General features: G+C 38.2%; 1 long non-coding RNA gene across 1 annotated transcript, besides 1 other annotated feature; it reads right to left on the bottom strand.

Annotated features, from left to right (window-relative positions):
- Positions 1 to 1,246: 1,246 nt before the first annotated feature.
- LOC124902258 (uncharacterized) lies at positions 1,247 to 19,714 on the bottom strand. Its single transcript, XR_007061749.1, has 2 exons — positions 19,596 to 19,714; positions 1,247 to 3,164 (listed from the first exon to the last, which is right to left on the bottom strand). It is a non-coding gene; the product is annotated as an uncharacterized LOC124902258 (long non-coding RNA).
- Positions 14,319 to 15,518: an enhancer, noted in NCBI's record as "MED14-independent group 3 enhancer chr9:118706021-118707220 (GRCh37/hg19 assembly coordinates)". NCBI's record gives its function as "activates an origin of replication core promoter dependent on BRD2, BRD4, P300/CBP and CDK7 cofactors, and independent of MED14, by STARR-seq in HCT116 cells {active_cell/tissue: HCT116}" and the evidence as "EXISTENCE:reporter gene assay evidence [ECO:0000049][PMID:35650434]".
- Positions 19,715 to 21,693: the final 1,979 nt, after the last annotated feature.

The raw sequence follows: 21,693 nt of genomic DNA, 5'->3' as shown, positions 1-21,693 counted from the left end.
TGCAAAAATCCTCAATAAAATACTAGCAAACCGAATCCAGCAGCACATCAAAAAGCTTATCCACCATGATCGAGTGGGCTTCATCCCTGGGATGCAAGGCTGGTTCAATATACGCAAATCAATAAATGTAATCCAGCATATAAACAGAACCAAAGACAAAAACCACATGATTATCTCAATAGATGCAGAAAAGGCCTTTGACAAAATTCAACAACCCTTCGTGCTAAAAACTCTCAATAAATTAGGTATTGATGGGACGTATTTCAAAATAATAAGAGCTATCTATGACAAACCCACAGCCAATATCATACTGAATGGCCAAAAACTGGAAGCATTCCCTTTGAAAACTGGCATTTCCTCTTTTCTTCCATGTCTGCCTCTTTCTTCCTCTTCTTTCCTTCTTTTCCCTTCCATTCCATTCTCTCTAACAGGATTTGTGGAATACCCACCATATGTTTGGCTTATGCTAGACATTAAGGAAATATGAGGGAAGCTAAGATTTACGAATCTTAGAATTATGCATAGTTAGGCATTTTTATATGTGCTCTGATTTTTAACCTTTAGAAGAACCTTGGTGAGGAGACATTATACCATGGTGTTTTCTCCCCTTTATATAAATTAGGCATGTCTTAATTGGCTTGCTCAAGATTATACACTTGGGGGCTGGTGTCAGCAATCCAATCCAAATCTGCTTCTAAGGCCCAGATTCTCTCCACCTTAACATGCAGACCAAGCACATAATCATATTCCAGTGCAGCAGGAACAATGGGACAATGGAAGCAAATATAGGGTTCTGTAGGAGACTGGGAGCAACAAAGCTGGAGGGCAGAGATAATTTATAGAGTAAGAAATTAGCCCCAGAAAAGACAACAACTCACCCAAGAACATACAGCTATTTTGTGTGTGTTAGAGACAGGATTAGTGTTCTTATCTTCTAGGTCAAGTGCAATCTAGGTGGTAGATCACTAGGCTGCTCACTATCCACCCATTTTAATGTTAATTTAATTTTATTTATTATTATTTTTTTAGAGGTGGGGTTTCACCATGTTGCCCAGACTGGTCTTGAACTCCTGAGCTCAGGTGATCCACCCCCCTTGGCCTCCCACAGTGCTGGGATTACAGGCGTGAGCACCATCCCCAGCCTCTACCATTTTAATTTTATAAGCTGTACTTTTAGGGCTTGTTTTTTATGTAGCCCCAGGTTATACCATTATCCCCTCCTGGAAGACACAGTAGATCCTAGAAATTGGGGTCAAATCCCAAATTTTTTATTTTAGTATGTTTATTTTTCCACATGAGCATATGTAGGGAGATGCATTTCCCTAGATGACTTGAATATGCTCTGAATCAGTGCAAGGAAAGTGTAGAGCCATTTGGCTCAGATCCTGTCAAATGAAAAAAAAAAAAAGAGAGAGAGAGAGAGTGAGACTGTGGGAGGCAGAGAGAATGGGTAGCTTTCTGTCCAGTTGTGGCTCTGAAGTTCTAAGACGAGTTTGTTTGGGTGAGATCAGCAGGAGGGATCACAAAAGGAGAATTCTGCTCCCCCACTCTCCCTCCTCTGCTCATCTGTCCGGAACAACTCATGCCTTCTGTGCCTCTTCCCATATGTTACAAGCATGTTTGGTCTAACTGGTTTCTCTCTAAATTAATGCAGGGCTCCTCTTTTAAAAAGTCTTCCTTATATAATGTAGAACCTGGCAGGCTCAAAGAAAAATTAGCTACCCACAGCCCCACAGATGAATAAAAATCTGGGCCTTGTTTACTCTTTCTGCAAACAAGCATCAATTAGAAAAAGTCAAAAAGGGTTGTGCTTTGCCTTCTAACTTGAGAACATCTATGAGGAATCTACAAGTTCTTCTTGTGAGTGTGGCTAAGAGTTGAGATGTTGTGACAAGGCCGCATTGATGTCTATGAGCCTGTCTGGACCATTTTTTCAGGAATAGGAGGAAACTTTATTTTACTGATTGTTTTGATTTTGTTTCAAAGAACAAAACATTTGAAGAAACTGCTTGGTATGTGGTGAGACTTCTCTTTGTCAAACTGGAAGATACCAGGTTTTAAGTTGTGCTAGAATGATGAAAGTCAAGAAAGTGAAGTCAGGAAACCTAGGCTCTGTACCTAAGTACAGAGTCTGTTTAGCCACTGTCCCTGTCTGTCATTAGAAAAGTATTTCGTTAGGTCAGATCAGAGGCGGTTTATGCCTGATCTGTGTGTGCCACTGATACCTCCTATGTTCATGACAGACATCCTCAATCTATGGAGACCCTCTCTCATGCATTGCAGGAGTATAGCTTCAGGATTCTTCATAACATTTTCCACTAGAGAGTAGCTGTCTGCTAAAATCTGTTATTCATCTCCATGATAGATCATCACTTACATCTTTTCTAAATTCTTTTTTAAAAATCTGTTGCCAGGGAAGAAGTATTTACCCTCATTCTACAAACATATTTTCCTTTGTCCCAGTCCCACCTGACAAGTAGAAACGTATTTTGGTTGTGTCTTTTTCAAATATGTATGAACTTATCCACAAGCAACTTTCAACAACTTTATAAAATTTGGAATTAGTGTAGATAAAAAAATCAAATGTTTGGATACTGAGCTAAAAACAATTTGATGTGTTGCGTGTGATCCATCTGAATCCAAATACTCAGTTGGCAAACTCACAAGAGACAAGCACTCTTTCTTCTGTTGTTTCTGATCCAGCCATCCAAATGAGCGGGGAACAAGTCCCAAACATGATGCAGCCTTCTTCAGCTTTGTGGATTACTATACATTTTGGCACTAAGACGAATTAAGATTCAGGAGGTGGCAGATAAAAAGATTTTTCTAAACAAGCTTCCATTTCACATACTCAGATGGGATAGAATTAAATGCAGTGACCTGGAGATGGAGAAGAAGTGGTGCGCAGACAAGCCAAGAGCATTGCATTTGGAGTCAGAGAAGGTGGTGGGTTCTGATCTGCACTCTCCTCCTATCTTGTGAGATTTTTGGATCTTTCTCTTCCCTTCTTCAGATGTGCAGCTCTAATTGGTGTTAAGCACCCAGTCCATTCCCTGTTCTGATTCCATAAATCTGCTGCTCAGCTTCAGAAGGGTGGATAGATAATCCTGGTGTTTCTCAGAGCTACTCCTGGTTGCATTTTTACATCTTCAATCACTTGAAATCTGGGAAGGGATAAAATGTATCAAATATCATCCTTCTTTTCCCATTTAATATTTTAGGAAATTAACTTTTCATTGGGTGCTCAGTGACTCTCAATTGTGTGAGCAGGAGTCTTCAGAATTTTTAACTTTTATTATTATAATACATGTCAGGGTACTTTTGTTGATAAACTTGCAGTGGGGTTTGCCTGCTTTGGGTTTCCTCACTTTACTCTTTCCTGCTAAGTCTCACTATCCACAACATCCTGTTTCTATTCTTTACAGAATTTTTTTTTTTTTTTTCTTGACAGAGTCTCATGCTGTTGCCCAGGCCGGAGTGCAGTGGCACAATCTCAGCTCACTGAAACCTCCAACCTCCTGGGTTCAAGCGATTCTCCTGCCTCAGCCTCCCAAGTAGCTGGGATTACAGGCACCTGCCATCATGCCCTGCTAATTTTTTTATTTTTAGTAGAAATGGGTTTTTGCCATGTAGGCCAGGCTGGTCTCAAACTCCTGACCTCAAATGATCTGCCTGCCTCGGCCTCCTAAAGTGCTGGGATTACAGGCATGAACCACTGTGCCTGGCTATTCTTTAGAGAATTTCAATCTCTATCCTATGCATTCTTTAAAGCCCAGCATTTTATTTTCTCTATGAAGCCATTCTAAGCCATCACAGTCAATTTTTTTGTAATTTGTTACACATTTGATCATGAACAATCTTCTTGTCTTCATAGTTATCTCACCCTTTTATCATTTGCCCATTTGTGTATTTGTTGCCTACTTTCCAAATGATTTGAGGAGGCACATGTAATAATAATAATAAATTATTTCATGTTAAATTTTAAGCAGTGTGGTAGATATGCTTATGTGCATATTTTTTCCACACATAATCTTTAAAACCACACCTAGAGAATGTTATTAGCATGATTTTGAGTGAAATAACTTAAAGTAGAAGTGATTAAGGTTATACAACTAGCAACTGACAGAGATGACCTTGAAACTTAGTATTGTGTGACTCCAAAATGCATGCTTCTGGCCGGGCGCATGGCTCATGGCTGCAATTCCAGCACTTTGGGAATTCGAGGTGGGTGGATCAGTTGAGGACAGGAGTTTGAGACCAGCCTGGACAACATGTGAAACCCTGTGTCTACTAAAAATACAAAAATTATCTGGGCATGGTGGCGAGGCCTGTAATCCCAGCTACTCAGCAGGCTGAGGTGGGAGAATTGCTTGAACCTGGGGGGGGCGGAGGTTGCAGTGAGCCAAGATTTTGTCATTGCATTACAGCAAGGGAGATAGAGGGAGACTCTGTCTCAAAAACAAACAAACAAACAAAAAAACATGTTTCTTCATTTTGGAGTAATAAGCAGAATCTGAGAATGAACTGTGTATTACATAATAAACCAATACTACATGGCTGAACTTGACAATATAACTAAGTAATGTAAGAGAATATCCTTTTTCTTAGTATATACACCCTGATTATTCACAGGTAAAGGGCCATGATGTAAGCAGTTAACTATCAATCAGGAGAAAAAAGTGTGTGTGTGTGTGTGTGTGTGAATGTGTGTGTGTATTGTTATGTGTGTGTATGAATGGGAATTCATATTATTCTTGCAACTTTTTCTGTAGGTTTGAAATCATTTTGAAATAAAATGAAAAACAACAAAAGGGAAAAAACAAAAACAAAATGAATGCTGCTTCTACTACCACATTCTTTATTGTCTTTTTGCCACAAATCCTTTAATCAGTAGGTGAGAAAAGCCACATATTAAGAGCTAGAAAAGAAGCAAGGAAGTTAGTAAAGGAAAGATAAAAGCATATTTTTAAAAATCTTGGTTGAGTAAGGTTGTAACAATTGAGTGCCAAAATTAGCATTGAGCTTCCTGTAACCCTAGGCAAGGAGAGAAACCTAATGGGTATCTATCTTTTGGCATCTAGCAGAAGAAAGTATAGATAGATACACATGTTACCCTGGATTCCACTTCTGAGATGAACTTGTCACAAAGGATACTGAGGAATACATTGGAAGATGTCCAGAGTGCAAAAGATATTTTGCAAATATTTCTTTGTTGTATATAGCATTAGTCTGGATGAACACTGAAAGATTAGTGCTAAATCATAATTCCATAAAGACAATTCTTTAGGGACCTCAAAGAATATGGCCAGTGGATACCACTCTCTGCTGATCTGGCTTAACCTAGGGATAAAATGTGGAGAATTTTACGGTTTGAATAGTCAGCACGTTTTTAATCCAATATTTACTTGAGATGGTAGCGCTTTTGTTTTGTTTTTACATAAATAATGAGATGCATACTGTTTCTTAATTTTTAGTATGAGAAAATTTGCTAATTGCTTTATAGTTATATAAATATATGGTTATTTTGCAAAAGATTATTTATAAGATTCATTGAGCTATACTTGTAAATAGCAGAGAGTCATATGAAAAACAATATAGTGTGGAAATTGATGGCTTTGGGGTCCTTGGGGGTAGGGTGTGGTCAGTGAAATCTTCCCAGAGGAGGTACATTTGAGCTGATAACTATTAAATAATTAAAAAAAATACACACCAAGAGTAGTAAGTTTTACTCTGGAGGTAGGTTCAAAGAAAAAAGATAGCTCAAAAGATAAAGTGTCCAACTCTGAGTTACAATCAAGGTGACATTTGAAATGAATATTAAAGGATGAATTTTCCCAGGAGGCAAGGGAGAGAGGTATTCTGAGGAGAGGAAACCGCATCTCCAATGACACGGAAGCATGAAACATGAAAAGCAAATGCACACTAGGTAATTTTAAGTTGCTTTGTGTGGCCTGAGCCTGCCCATGAAGGAAAGTGGTCAAAAATCAAGCTAGAGGTCAACAGAGGGAGATAAGGAAGGACTGCATATGAAATTCCAAAGAGTTTGAGTTTTGTTCTGGGAAGCATGAGGCCTGTATTTTAGTAAAGCACTACTTTGTGACTGATTGGGAAGAGTGACTGGAGAAGTGTTGGGCTGGAATCAAGGAAACACAATGAAAAGGCTGCTGTGATCATCCAGCAAAGAGATGATGAACTAGCACTGAGGAGCTAGTGAGAGTGAGATGGAGTAAGAGGAGAAGGTGGGATTGAAAGATATTTAGGCAATAAAATCAATTGATTTTGGTAACTGTGTGGCAACTCTGCAAGTGCTAAGAACTACGGGAGGAAGAAATACATCTGTCCTGGGGTCAAAATATTGCAACAATTTACAAAGTGCCTGACTCATGATAGCAGCCCAAATGACCCATTGTTAAATAAATAAACATTTTTAGCTTGAATGACCGGGAAATAGCGATGTCTCAGCCAGACATTCAACTAATGACACAGAATTGAGGACACTAGCTGATATGCATAGGGCTTCTCTAGGATTAGAATATATTTCTCTAATTATCATAATTAGAGAAGTGCAGTGTACTAGCACTTGGTTAAGCACTGTACATATGGTATTGCAATTAGCAGTTATGAGTTATGACCATAATAGTTTAGAGGAATTCCTCTATGGGGAATGAATCATTGCTATAATCGCCATTTTAGAAACAAAGAAACTCAGGCTCTGAAAGATTAGGAAAATCAACCAATGTCACAAAGTTAGTGAGTAGCAGAGCCAGGTTTTGGACACAGATCAGTGAGATTCAAAGCCTATATTCTTTTTTAAAAAATTTTATTTTACTTTACCTTCTGGGATACACGTGCAGAACATGCAGGTTTGTTACATAAGTATACATGTACCATGGTGGTTTGCTGCAGCTATCAACCTGTCATCTAGGTTTTAAGCCCCACATGCATTAGATATTTGTCCTAATTCAAAGCCTATATTCTTAACCAGGATGAACAGAGATTGAGAGAGAGCAAATTGCTCAAGGTCGCATAGTGAGCAAGAGTTTCACAGGGGCTGGAGCCATCTCTTTCTCTTATGCCACGTGTTTTGGCTGAGCAGGCTAGTTAAATTCTGATGATGTCTTACTATAGGACTCAGACTATAGATATCTACCGGCTGTTATAGAGAACATGCAAAAACTGCACTATTTACTGGGTAGACATCAGTAAGTCCTCTATTTCCTTTTAGTCTCCAGCCAACGAACAGCTTACTGCAGTGACTTTACTACTGAAGATGGAAAGCTGTTAAAAGAAGAAACTGGGCTTAAATAGGGAGTACCAGAACACAAGAAGTGATGTTATTCTTACTATAATCTGCTGACAATCAAAGGACTTAGGAGCTCTAAATTATATTAGTAAACAAGAATGTTCACAGAATATTGGCATTTTTTATGCTCTTGGCAAACTGCTGAGATATTAAAGATGCATGTTGGAGTTCATAAACTTTCATAATTGCACATGGACACCAAGTTTCTATCTCAATGGAGAAGAAGATTGAGAGCTATGGCTTGCGAGACTCTGGGAAAATCTTCCTTCAAATGTCTGCCATTGTCAAGCAACACAGAGGTGCACTGATAAAGGAAATTTAAGGATTAATAACACCTCAGGAGTGACATTATCTAGGATCTAGCTTTACCTATGACTGTCCTTCCTGCCTCTTCTTGAGGGCTTCAGTTTTAAACTCCTTTTTGGGGAGTCCCATTATTTGCTGGGTAGTGCTACCTGGCAGAACCAAGTTTTTCGTGGTTAAGGTCTGTTAAATAGTAACTTTAGTTCTGTCCTAAGAGCATCCCGTTGTTCCATAAAAATGATACCTCCTATATTGGAGGACAGCTCTTTATTCCATTATGTCCTTTCTCTACAAGGTTTTAGAATGAAGAGCTGTAGTCACCAATATGATAAGAATGCAGATAAAACCAGTCTTCATTTATTGACCACATCAGACAAAGTTCTAGATGGATTTTATGGATGGTATTTTATTTAATCCTAACTAGGACACAGAAACAGAAGTGATAATTATTTCTATATTATATATGAGGATACTATATCTCAGTCAGGTGTTAAAAATTTACCTTGTTACTCAATGAGTAAATGATGGTTCTATAATTTGAATTCAAATGGTTCTCATTCCAGAGATTAAGCTTTTTCTGATATACCAAGCAGTCTCTCAAGTTTTACCTTCTTGGGCTTTTTAAAAAGATGTTCATTTCTTCCTTCACACACATTACTTCTAAACAGTTATATATGTAGAAAAGGAAGTTCGGTTATGGAGAAACATGTGCTTGCTGTTAAAGTTTTATATCATCCTTATTTTGAGTCATTTTCTAGGAAAACTCATAATTAGATGAAAATCTAGTCATTGAACTTTTAAGAACATTATTTTGTGATGATGTTAATAAACATAAAAATAATATGGCCAGGTCAAGTTGAAACTATCCCCTTTAGTTCTTTGTGAATGGGAGTAGAGATTAGACAGTTTTTTGAAGGTCTGTGAGCCCATGATGGGGATTTGATTCCAAGTGTTCTAGGAGATTGACATGAGCTGACTTGCCTTTTTTATATATTTCTCATTCCATTAAGTGGAAAACAAATGAAAGGGCCCACGTAGAGGCAGGGAAACAAGTAACGAGGCTAGTGAGGCTATGTTGGTGATGGGGGAGTGAAACAGGGCGAGGGACTGGAGTGATGGACTAGGGGGAAGTGAAACTGGGTGATGGACTAGAGTGATGGACAAAGGAGAAATGGACAAAAGAAAGGCTCACTAGGGGAGGTGGACTAGGATGATAGTCTGGGGGAGGGAGACTAGGGGAAAATGAAACAGGGTGAGGGACTAGGGTGATGATGAAGTGGAAATGGACTAAAGAAAGGTGGGCTAGGAGAGATGGGCTGGGATGATAGACTTGGGTGATAGACGATGGTGAAATGGACTATAGAAAGTGGACCAGAAAGAGGTGAACTAGGAGATGGTGGACTAGGGAGAGGAGTGGACTGGGAGGAGTGGGCTAGGGTAGTGAATGTGGGTGATGGAGTAAGGGGAGATGCAGTGGGGTGGTGAAGGGGGAAATAATGAGTGGTACTGGGATTTGGGATACACTATTTTTTATTTTTTAATTTTTTAAAATTATTTTATTTATTTATTTTTTTGAGATGGAGTTTTGCTCTGTCGCCCACGCTGGAGTGCAGTGGCGAGATCTTGGCTCACTGCAAGCTCCACCTCCCAGGTTCACACCATTCTCCTGTCTCAGCCTCCTGAGTACCTGGGACTACAGGTGCCCACCACCATGCCCAGCTAATTTTTTGTATTTTTAGTTGAGACGGGGTTTCACCATGTTAGCCATGATGGTCTCGATCTCCTGACCTCGTGATCCACCTGCCTCGGCCTCCCAAAGTGCTGGGATTACAGGAATGAACCACCACGCCCGACCTGGGATACACTTTTTAAATGAAAGTGGCAAAAATTGCCAAATGATTGGCTGTGGGGTTGTATGGCACTGATTCCACTTCTAAAAACTTATTGTAAGTTGATAATCATGAATCTCCTTCAAGATATAAGAATGTTTATGGTTTAAAATAGCACAATGTTAGAAATGTTTTATTAAAAAAATTAGAGGCTAATTAAGTATGTTGTGGAAAATTCTGGAATGATACAATCCAAAATTGAGCGGACGTCTTGTCTGGATTGTGAGTTTCTCCGCAGTTTGCTTCCTTCCTTCCTTCTTTCCTTCCTTCCTTCCTTCCTTCCATCCTTCCTTTTCTTTCTCTCTCTCTTTCTTTTGATCTTTCCTTTTTTGTTGATCTGAAATTTTAAACATGTTTAAAATGAGACTATTTTATTCTGTTAAAAAAAAGTCAGTTATGTTTGAAAAGTAAACCTATCCTTATTTGACTGCACTTCTGCACAGCAGGATCAACCGATTTTCCATTTAAAATGTATCCCCAAAACACAGTTCAGTTGGCCATCCTGTGAAGGACTTCACAAATACTCCTGATAGATTTACTATGTAGTAATATGAGCCCAAACTGTGGCTAACGCTGGGATTCATACATGTTTGAAAACTGTCTGGGTACATGTTTATTTATATGCGTAGTTTTGCACTGGTTGGAGGTGATGGAATGGGGAAGGTTTTACAGAAGGAGGAAAGTGGAATGGTGAGAACAACCACATGCCTATGATATGTCTGGCATGACCCAGAGACTGAGGTTATAGGTAATTACACAGGGTCTCTGTGAGGCACAGAAGTACAAAGATGGCATCTTTGGTATTCAGGAAGAGAAATATGGCACTGAATGGATGCAAATAAACTTCTGCTCACTGTTGGGGAGCACGCAGTCAAACTTTGGCATTTTGAGGGTGCCTGGAAATGCAGAACATCTAGAAATACCAGTTCTGGGAGCATCCTGACAAGTTCGTGTCCTTGGAAGTCCTGAGGCTTCCTCTCCAAATGGATTCATCATCTAACATGAAAGAGGGGGAAATGGGGAAGTAAATGTAAATGTAAAACATAGTGACTATCATAAAGTACCTGGAGTGAATGGGCTTCATTTGAACCTATGTATGGCATCTATAGTCTTCAAAGAGTTAACAAATTGAGGTTTAGAGTTAAAATCCTTTGTTATGCAAAAGAAAATATAGATTATCATCTTTAATGTAACCCTATTTATATACAAAGGGTAGTATAATGTGGTGGGGTTAAGGCTACAATAGAATATAGAGTCTTAGTTCTCAAATCCTAGAGATGAGAAGACACTAGAAGTTCTCTAATGCCTTCGGTCAATTCCAGTCACCCAAATAGACGGTTCTTAGTTTCTGAATGCCTCCTTTGATGGTACCTATTAATTCCCTTTTTGGTGTATCAGATAGTCTAATTTCTCTCTTCTCCCAATAATGTTGCTTGAAACCACGGACAGGGAGGGGCTGTCGTGGCTGAGAGGATGAGTGGGGGCTCAAACCCAATCTGTGCTGTATTCACCAACCTATGTGCCCAGGCTTGGTGAAATGATGGCTTTATTTTTATTATTATTATTATTTTTATCTGAGGAAGAAATTTAAACAACTAACATTCCCCAAAAGGTGCCTTTTTCTTTTTTTAAAAAAGTTATTCACTCAAAGTCACCACACATGCTCAAAGGCAATGTAGAACATGGGCCAGATCCATTAACTCTGGCCACAACAAAGGCTCATGATGTTCAGTGGGAATTCCCACAATTCTATGCTCCCTAGGCTGAAAGGATCCAAGTGCAGAAAACAAACTGAAATTATCAGCAAACTGTCTCAACCAGGACCTATGCTACACATGTTTTGTTTAGCATCTCATTCAACCCATACAACACCCCTTAAGAGCAAATTCTATTCTACTTTTATAACTTAGAACGCTGGAGCTCATCAAACTGGAGTTCGTGTACCTAGAAGGCAACAGAATCAGGACACCAACTTGTATTCATTCCATATGACTTCTTGAATTTGCTACCGATAGTTCTTTCAGTCTTTACAATCATTGGCTTCTTCTTGTTGGATTTTCCTTTGGTCACTTCCCTGGGGTCCAATCTCTGTTTACTAATTCTTCATCAATTAAGTAGAATGTTACCACTCATCTCTGTCTGATTTGGGCACACAATATGCTGCCAAACACTTTCAGCTCTAACAGTACTAGAAAAGATATTATCTCTGAATCACAACCATCTTTCTCATTGTATCGAATTCATCCTTGTGGCATCTGGCTCTGGCTCCAGCTTTAAGTTTTTGACTCCTTCGCTCAATCTCTTCACATATTCTTTTTTTTTGTTTTGTGACGGAGTCTCACTTTTTCTCCCAGACTGGAGTTCAGTGGCATGATCTCAGCTCACTGCAACCTCCACCTCCTGGGTTTAAGTGATTCTCTTGCCTCAGCCTCCCGAGTAGCTGGGATCACAGGCACTCGCCGCCACACTTGGGTAATTTTTGTATTTTTAGTAGAGACGGCAGGGCTTCACCATGTTGGCCAGGCTGGTCTCAAACTCCTGACCTCAGGTGATCTGCCCACCTTGGCCTCCCAAATTGCTGGGATTACAGGTGTAAGGCACCGCGGCTGGCCTCTTCACATATTCTAAGACATTTTATCAATTGCCCAACATAATTATTTTTTTAAAAAAACATTTTATTTAATAATTCTATTTTTTTAAAAAAACTCTTTTTTATTCCGTCTATTAGGACATGGCCTTAGGTCGAACCAATATTAATTTACAGTCTCATTTCTCTCTGGAAGTGGAATCCTACAAGCATTTTTATTCTACATCTCTTTGGCAGATATGCAAACAAACCATTCTACATGACTACACGAAATTTTGCTTGTTTCTCTCTCTACAGCTGGTCTCCAATTGTTTCATGTGCATTTGTTTTCTTCCCCTGACTTGACTCCTTGATGGCAATGTTGTGTACACAGAAGTTACGTCATACATGTGAGTTAGTTGATCTAATTCTTTATTTACTCAATGCTCCTAGCTCACTCTTTGCCCTCCCCCTTCCTGGTCACCTGGTTAAATAGGCTCTTGATAAATACTTACTGAATGAAATAATGAACCAGCACCAACTAAATATAAGGTGCTATTGTAATAATTGGCTGGGTCAGTCAGATACTTGGATACCATGTGGAATTCTGTGGCAGCATTGGAATCCCACTGGATATATGGAGGTCTGGCAGAGAGCAAACTGTGGTTGAATTTGGGCACAAGAGGGTGAGGGTGGAAATGGGAAAAATTGAGCAGGAGTCATTATGTCTGGGGATGAAATGGAAGGTCTGAACAGGAAAAATAGCAGCTGAATAGCAGACTGGCTGTTAGGATTGAAAAATCAGGTGTGAAAATCAACTACAATAGTAATAATAATGATAATATTAATGAATTTACAATATTAAAAGTAGACTGTCCCATGGTTTGTTGTTAATTTATCAATTTCTGAGTATTTTCTTACTAAGAAATATTAATTTCTTAGTATTTTCTGAGATTTACAAATCTTCATTGCAGATATGAAACCTAAAATTCATTTTGGAAAAGAACAAAATGGATCATAAAGTAGATTAAATTCTAATTAATGACATTCATACTGGAGAATTGGGTGAAATGTAGTGATGCCTTCCAACTTAGTTTTAAACATGTCACAAATAAGATAGATTGATGGAGAGAGAGGGGGGAGATCTAGAGAGAGGTATGTGATAAGACAATTATATTAATAGTGAAAGGTTAGTTACAGAATCTGAGTGGTAGGTATATGTATGTTTACTATAAAAATACTTAAACTATACTGTTTATTTGAAAATTTTTATAATAAAATCCTGAGAAAAAATAAATTATAGAGAAATTGATTCAGATCTCTTAAAAATAACCATATTGGAGCCTACAATGATTAGATCAAAATACTAGTTTTTTAGGTAGAATTTTCCAGCATAGTAATAAATCTTCATATTTATGCAAGGTTTTATTGTCCACCAAGTACAAAGTGTGATGATTGAGGGAAAAGACTCTGGAGCCAGACTAGCTGATTTCTGATTACTATCTATGAATAAACCATTTAACTTCTTGGTCTCTTAATTCCTTTGTTAGTCGAATCTGTGTAATAATTCTCCTAGGGTAGTTGTGAAGAGTAAATAAATCAGTAAATGTAAAATGCTTAGAAAGTGCTAAGAAGCAAATAAGCTCTATATTAATGCCATCTATTATAATTGTAATAATAATTGTTATGCCTTCCTCATTAGTTCTTAGGACAGAAATGGTTACTCTGCTTTTCAGCTGAAGTAACTGAGGTCTAGAGAAATATCTCTTGCCCAAAGCCATATGGTTTCATTTTAGGTGATACTGGGTCTAAAGTTAAGTCTTCATTGCCTCTTTCAAATATGCTTCTCCTTGTGTTCCAACTCCCATTGCAATGTCCAATCAAATTGAGGTGCAAAGAAATGCTAAGTGCCTGGCTGGGTGCCTGGCACATGGTAGGCACTTAAAAAGTAGGTGAATGATAAAAGTTCATTTATAGCACTTACTGTGTGTGTTACCCTGCTAATCACTATACATTATCTCAAAGAATCCTTGTAAAAGCTCTAAGAGTTTTGTTTTACTGCCCTGACTTTCCAGATGAGAGCAGAGGCTTTAGAAAGGGTATGTTGCCCAAGATCCCACAGCTAGCAAGTCTGAACCACAGATCCATCTGGTTCCAAAGCCCATGCATTTTTAACAACCCTGCAACACTTTCATGAATGAAGGGAGGCTGCTTCAAAGCTTAGCCGAATGGTAGAAATTAGGGGACATGAGCCATTTTACCCTTAATCCACAGTGCCTTCCCCTAAGTCCTTCTCATCATAGATGCATTGTATTACTAGCAAATGTGAATGTTTTGATGAATTAGGCAAAACACTCCAACTGCCTGTACATTGCAACATCTTCCCTTCAAAGGCCAGGGAATGTAGACTGTACGTTCTTTGTCCAGCTTGTCTGAATGCGTCAACGCTGTCTGGGAGGCACAGAGGTGGATGCTTTCCTAGCAGGGGTGAGGCCCCTCCTGAATGTCCAGCTCCCGTATTTGTAACATTGCCATGTGCTGCCACTGGGCCAAGGAATGAAGGGGCCTATGGTCCCAGCCTCCTCAGATTACGCAAGCCAAGAAAAATGTGCAAATCGCATGAGAAAAGCAGGCAGTCCCCAAACATCTTTATTTGTTCATTTCTGTGCCCTGATGCTTTGATTGCAGCCCTGCACTTAGAAATTTCAAGATAAGTATCAGCAGCTGGACACTGGGTAAATCAGAGGCACAGATTCCGTGTAAATACTGAAGTTTCGAAAGCACAAACTTATGTCCAATAGCTTGGAGCACAGGACCCAGTGGAAAGTGGGGGAGTGGTGTTCTGGCTTTGGCAGAGTCAACCTTCTGAGAAACTCATGGACATGTCTGTGCATGCCTGAACTTGTCTGACAAAGCCAAGCAGAGATTTCAGGATTGGCCAGATTCAGACACAAGCGGCCTGCTTGCTCGGAACCAAAATGGAACAGTCAGAGGAAGTGCAGGATTAGAAAGAAGAAACAAAAGATTACAGTCTGAAATCTGTTAACAGCAGAGGTTGCATGGTGAATGACCATGCTGATGACAATAAACTAAGCTGTCATCTATTGAATGGCTCACTGACAAGATCCCATATTAGGCTTTTTGTGTCCATTCACATAGTTAATTCTCCTAACAATCCTCAAGTTTTGATGGACTTTACCAGATTTTATAAATTTTAAAAAAAGAATAAAAAGGAAAGAAAGGGAGATGGAATGGTAAAACCACTATCTCAAAGTCAGGAACTAGCCAGTAAGAGGAAACAGGTTAGCAACACATGCTTGTCAGAGCCAAGGACCAATTTGTATCTTAAACTGCCCCCATGATCAATGAACATGAATTTAAACAAATGATAATCCCAGAACCTAAATCTGCCTCCCTGCAGTTAGAATAAATAATAACCATTGTGTGCCATTTTACAGTTCTCAAAGGGGTTATGTAATCTACATATACTGGAGACAGAAAAGAGAAAACTGTCCAGTTGGGTTTTGCTCCTAGGACAATAACAGTTCATATACTAGTTGTAAATAGTAAACACACCATTTTTTTTTTCTTCCTGACAGAAGGGGGATTTTGTCTGAGAAGAGAAAAAAAAAATGAGAGAGAGACAGCAGCTTTCTATTCAGAGACTAAATTAATGGGTAGGGCTGATCTCTTGGCATAATATGAGCTGTGAGGAGAGAGTTTGCTGATGAGATCTGTCAAGAACATAACAAGAAGATAGACTGGAAGAGTCTGGACCACACTGGGTGTGACAGCAGCCTCATCAGCTCAGCTAAGAGTAGATATATTGGTAAGAAAAATTAGAACAATGGGTAAAGCAAGATAACTAATGCTGTAGTTATGCTGTGAAGCTTATTTTGTTATTTAGGATTCTTTGGTTGCAAGTAACAGAATCCAACTCAAGGCAGCATACACAAAAATTTGTGAGATCTAATATAAGCACATGGAGATTTCTCTCAGGACAGCAAATACTAAAGATAAGGTAAATATGAAAATGAAAATTCAAGGTGGCTGGCAGAGTATAAAAACATGATCCTGGAGAGCATGACAGAATCCAAATCTTGAAGTTCTTTGTAGATTTCATTAAAGCACTTTAATTTCCTTGTAAATGTAGCAAGTGGCCAAGAAATGGGAAGTAATGTTATCAAAATGCAGGAAAATGGGATTATCAGATACAATACCACTTGAGCTGCTGTATGGGATAGAGAAAGGAAGTATGAAGGGTTGCTGTTGGTTGATTTTTTTGACTATGTATATAGTAGTGCCATAAATTGTGATAAGGAACATCAAAATGCAGATATGGGGTTGGAGGAAAAAGTTTGTGATGCATTTACTTTTGAACAGATTGGATTTAAGATGTCTGTGAGTCTTTCAAGAGATATCTACAGATACTTAGATAAAACAGTGTGGAGTTCAGAAGAAGCACATGTGCTGGAGTTACAAATGAGAAGTCACCTTCACAAAGATGCTACCAGAAGCCATAGCAGTGAATCAGGATATCCAAGGACTTGATTAAAGGTGAGAGAGCAGGGGAGAGCCTCGAACATAGAACTCTAACAACAACAACAAAAACCAGTTATGGGCCATAAGCATTAAGAAGAAAAGCCTTTAAACCTTCCAAGAGTAGCCAGAGAGATAGAGATAATTAGGAGAAGGAACACTTTCTGAAAGCTGGAGTGAAGACTTCTGAAAATCTACTTCATAACAGCAAAAAGAACACTAAAAAAATTGACAAAATAAACTTTTACAGAGCTGTAAAACTTAATCAAAAGCTTGTAACAATCTGAAGAATGTTTGTTGAAGAAAAATAGCTGAATTTCTGTAAGAATAGCAAAGAGCTTTGTAGCATTTTAACACACACTATTTCTATTTCTGTTTTCCTGCACAGTAGCAGTGAAAACCAACAGCCTCACGAGCATGGTAATTGTGAAAACCAGCAGTCTTACAGCTACTGGATGGGATAGAAAGTGTTTAGAGATCTCCCAAAAGTCCATTCCTAGAGAACTATCACTATCTGACCTGCCTGACAACTCCCTGGAAAGCCCCATTCATGGAGACTGGCTTTATTTTAACTGACTCAGAGCTCATTCACTGGGGAAATGCTGTATCCCCAGGGTGTTTGTGAAAAATGAACAGTGTCCATCATTTAAATTGAAGCTGCCTGAAGCAGTGATACAAGTTGTATCAATTAGGGCAAATAAGAGGCTAGCTAAGACCCTTAAAGGAAAAAGCTGAAAAATGAAACATTTACAGGGGGCTTTAAAAGACTCCAACATATTCAAGGGCATCTAGAAAATGATGTACATGTGCAGGGCTGTGAGAATGCTCGGGAAAGACTTGAGAAGATCCCAATATCTTATGCTGGCTGACACTGAGGATCTGCATAAACAGGAACTGAAAGCTAAGGCAGAGTTGAAAACTGGCAGTGTTGAAATGGTGCCCCAACACATCCACTCAGGGCTCCATGGTAAAGTGTGAGAGACCTATGGGTTCAAGTCATTCATGCAAATTTTTATCCAATCATTCCCTGACCACTAAGCTAACTCAGCAGAGACTTCAGTGGCCACACACAACACAGTGCAGACTTTAAATAATAAGTTGAGTAAAGTCACCAAACAAACTTCAAACAGCAGGAACAACAAACAGTAACAGTGGAAAACCCTGGGAAGTGAGGAATCTTATTTCCAGAGTTGCCACATTAGATTATGAAAAATTCCAGTTTTCAACACGAAGCTGTGAAACACACTAAGAAACAGGAAGGTATGGCCCAAACACATAATTATAAACTAAATAATATCGTACATGGATTAAAAGGGTTTCCTATGTTAAAGAAATATAATAAAAACACAAAGATTCTTCATTGGGAGTATATTCAGGTAACTTATTATAATTATTAGATAGTTTAAATTCTGCTGTACCAAAGTTTATTAATTAATTTTTTAAAAATACATAGTCCACGAGGTTTAGAAATGCAAGACGTGTACACTGAAACTACAAGACATTGCTGAAGGAAATTAAAGAAGACCTAAATAAATTGAAATTTAACCACATTTATAGATTGAAAAATTTAATATTGTTAAGATAGCAGTACTTCCCAAATTGAACTATAAATTCAATGCAGTCCCTATCAAAATCCTAGTGCCACTTTCTGCAGAAATTGACAAACTGATTTTAAAACTTATAGGAAAATGTAAGGGACCAAGAAGGACCAAAATGATTTTTAAAAAGGAAAATAAAGTTAAAAATTCACACTTTTTAATTTCATAACTTAAACAAAAGTATGGTATTTAAGAAAATGTTGTACTTGCAGAGAGATAGGCTATAAACTAATGCAGTGGAAATGAAAATTCAGAAGTAAATCCTTACAATATAGTTGATTGATTTTTGACAAGGTTGCCTGGACAAATCGATATGAAAAGAAATAGTCTTTTCAACAAGTGGTGCTGAAACAACTGGCTATCTACCTGGAAAAAAATGAAGGTGGACCCTTCCTTACACTGTACAGAAAAGCTAACATAAAATGGATCATAGACCTAAATATCAGAGATAAAAGTACGAAAGTCTTGTAAGTAAATATAGTAGTATATATTCATGACTTTGGGTTAGGCAAAAGTTTCTTAGATATGATACTGGAAGCATAAGTGAAGACAGAATAAGTAGGCAAACTGGATAAGATCAAGTTTAAAAAGTTTTCGCTTCAAAGGTCGCCACCAAGAAAGTGAAAAGGCAACCCAGATAATGAGAGAAAATGTTTGCAAGCCATATATTTCATAAGAGTCTCTATAAGAGTTTTGTACTTTTATCTCTGTGATCATTCCTTATATATTCTAAAGGCTAAATATATAAGGAATGATCACAACTCAACAATAAAGAGAAATAATGCAATTAAAAAATGAGCACATATCTGAGTAGACATTCCTCTTCAAACAAAGATATAGAAATGGCCAATAAACCCATGAAAAGATGTTCAAGATAATATGACATGAGGAAAATTAAAAACAGAACTACAGTGAGACACTACTTCACATTGACTAGGATGGCTAAAATTTTAAAAGATAGTAAAAAGTTTGACAAGGATGAAAATGGTGGAGAAAATGATACCCTCATATATTGCTGGCAGAAATGTTAAATGGTACACCTCCTTTGGAAATAAACTTGACATTTCTTCAAAATGTTAAACATAGAGTTACCATATGACCTAGCAATTCCAGTCTTAGGTATATAACTAAGAAAAATAAAAATGCACTTTCATACAAAAACTTGTACACACATTTCCGTAACAGCATTATTCATAGTAACAAATTAGAAGCAACCCAATTGTTCATCAACAGGTGAATGGATAAACAAAATGTGATATATATATGCAATGGAATATTACTCAGCCATTTAAAAATGACATACTGATACATGCTACAACATGAATAAATCTTGAAAATATTATGCTAAGTGAAATAAGCCAGTCACAAAAGACCACATTTTAAATGACTTCACTTACATAAAATGTCCTGAGTAGTTAAATCCAAAGAGACGGAAAGTAGATTAGTGGTTTCCAGGGAATGGGTGGAAGAAGAGAATTGGGAGTGACTGCTATAGGGTATGGGGTTTCTTTGAAGTGATGTAAATGTTCTGGAATTAAGTAGTTGTTAAGATTGCACAACTCTGTGAATATATTACAAATCACTCAGTTGTACATTTCAAAAAAGGTGAATTTTAAGGCATGTGAATTATAGCTTGATAGAGCTGTTATAGGGAAAAAAAAAAGGAATCCAGGAGACATGATGACAGCAGTGTCATACGCTGTGAATAAGCCCATTTGATAAAATGAGCAACATTTATTGGATATAGCAACAGTGAGGTCTTTGATAAACTTGGCTAAAGATAGTGGAGAGGTGGGGTAAAACAAGTTTGATTCATTCACCAAATATTTATGAATTACATATTGCACAATGGCATGTGCCATTGGGATGAGATATGAATGAAGGGAAGAAAGCCAGATGATAATGGGTTGATTTGAAAATAGGGGATGAGAAATGAGAGACTAGGAGTATGCACAATTCTTATAGAAGTTAGGTTGCAAAGGGCTGAAAACAAAAATGTTAGTAACTGGAAGAGGACACACACTCAGCTTGTTTTGTGGTTTGTTATCTGGGAGAAACTTCAGCATCTTAACATGGGTGAACATATCCTCTGTGTAGCGCTGATGGAAAGGATTCATGGGAGAAGGAAGGATGGGGTTGATGACACACGATGGCATGGGGATAGCTCAAAGGGACAAGTTCTGGAGAAGTTCACCAGAGCACAGATGGAGGGATAAACTTTAGATAGCAAGGGACACAGCCATATATTGTGATGGAAGAAAGAGAGGAAAATGGATGGAAATGAAGCTTATCTTAAAGACTTGTGGGAGAACACTGAAGAAATTTCCTGTCCTGGATTCTATTACTAATAAAGGAAGGTTTTATCTGTGGAGAGCCAAGAATTGGTAGAGCTTCCAGACTCACTTGGGATCAGTGAAATAGTGGCCAGGGAGGAAGCTTGAGAGGAGCGTGTAGGAGAAACATGAATGATTGCTCTGTGTTGAATAGACAAATCCATAGAGTGTTGAGAGCTCAAGGTCTGAGACTATCAATTTCTTGTAGCCCCAATTCACAGGGTTGGACATTTTTTTTAATTCTCCCAGTTTTCAGCAGCAGTGTTCAGATTGTAACATTAATAAAGCAAATCAGTGAATATTGCATAGTAGAGGAAGTAAAAATATTCTATTGATAAAGGAATTCTTTAAAGTGGGCACCCAGGATCTAAGCTGTGGAAAGAAAGGGAAGTCTGGGCATGACTGGTAGGGAGAAATTAGAGGGGTCAAATGATTGAAGGTATTTTTTCTCTTCTCTCTAATCTGTTTTGGATATCCCTTCCTCCTTTCCATCATCTTTCTTCTTCTATTTCTTCTCCTTTTTTAAGAAGCTGCTCATTTAAGATTACTTTTCTGCCTGGTTGGCATGTTCTTGATCATGAGCTCATCAGTTCTTGAAGAACTGTTGACTGGCAGTTGCCTGTGTGAAGGTTAGGCAGGTTTAGGATGCTAGTTACCTCATGGTTCAGCTTTCACAGAGGGGTTTTCATTTGAATTTCACAGCAATCCTGCCCTCTAAGTGAAGCGAAGAAACAGAATCCACTTCAATGGGCTAGGGGCTAGTTGAATAATGTTCCAAGAGGTTTAGGGACAACTCTATGAAGTCCAGTACAGGGTTGAAATTCAGTTTGATTTGTTTCACTTTTCTCCATTCCATGCTGACAGATCATTTAATTTATATATGGAAATGCATGCATTTCATTCAGTGAAGGGAGTCCTATTTATTTGGAGGGATGTTATTTATAGTAGAGAACTCTTTAAAAATAATAATCCACCACATATTTTAAATATAATTATTACTCCATCAATGTAATCCTTCCTTGGTTTTCTAGATGATCTTTTCAATATATTTATGCTTTGCCCTCCTCCCCTCCCCAAACATTTTCTTTAAATTAGGAACCAAATATGAGCCAAGCACCATCTTAATGATGGTATGAGAAAGAGTCACTATTTACAAGGGACT

This window comes from Homo sapiens, chromosome 9, assembly GCF_000001405.40.
Source record: "Homo sapiens chromosome 9, GRCh38.p14 Primary Assembly".
NCBI classification, from domain to species: Eukaryota; Metazoa; Chordata; class Mammalia; order Primates; family Hominidae; genus Homo; species Homo sapiens.
The sequence above is the reverse complement of the archived record's forward strand: the minus strand, read 5'-3'. Positions and strand labels throughout refer to the sequence as shown.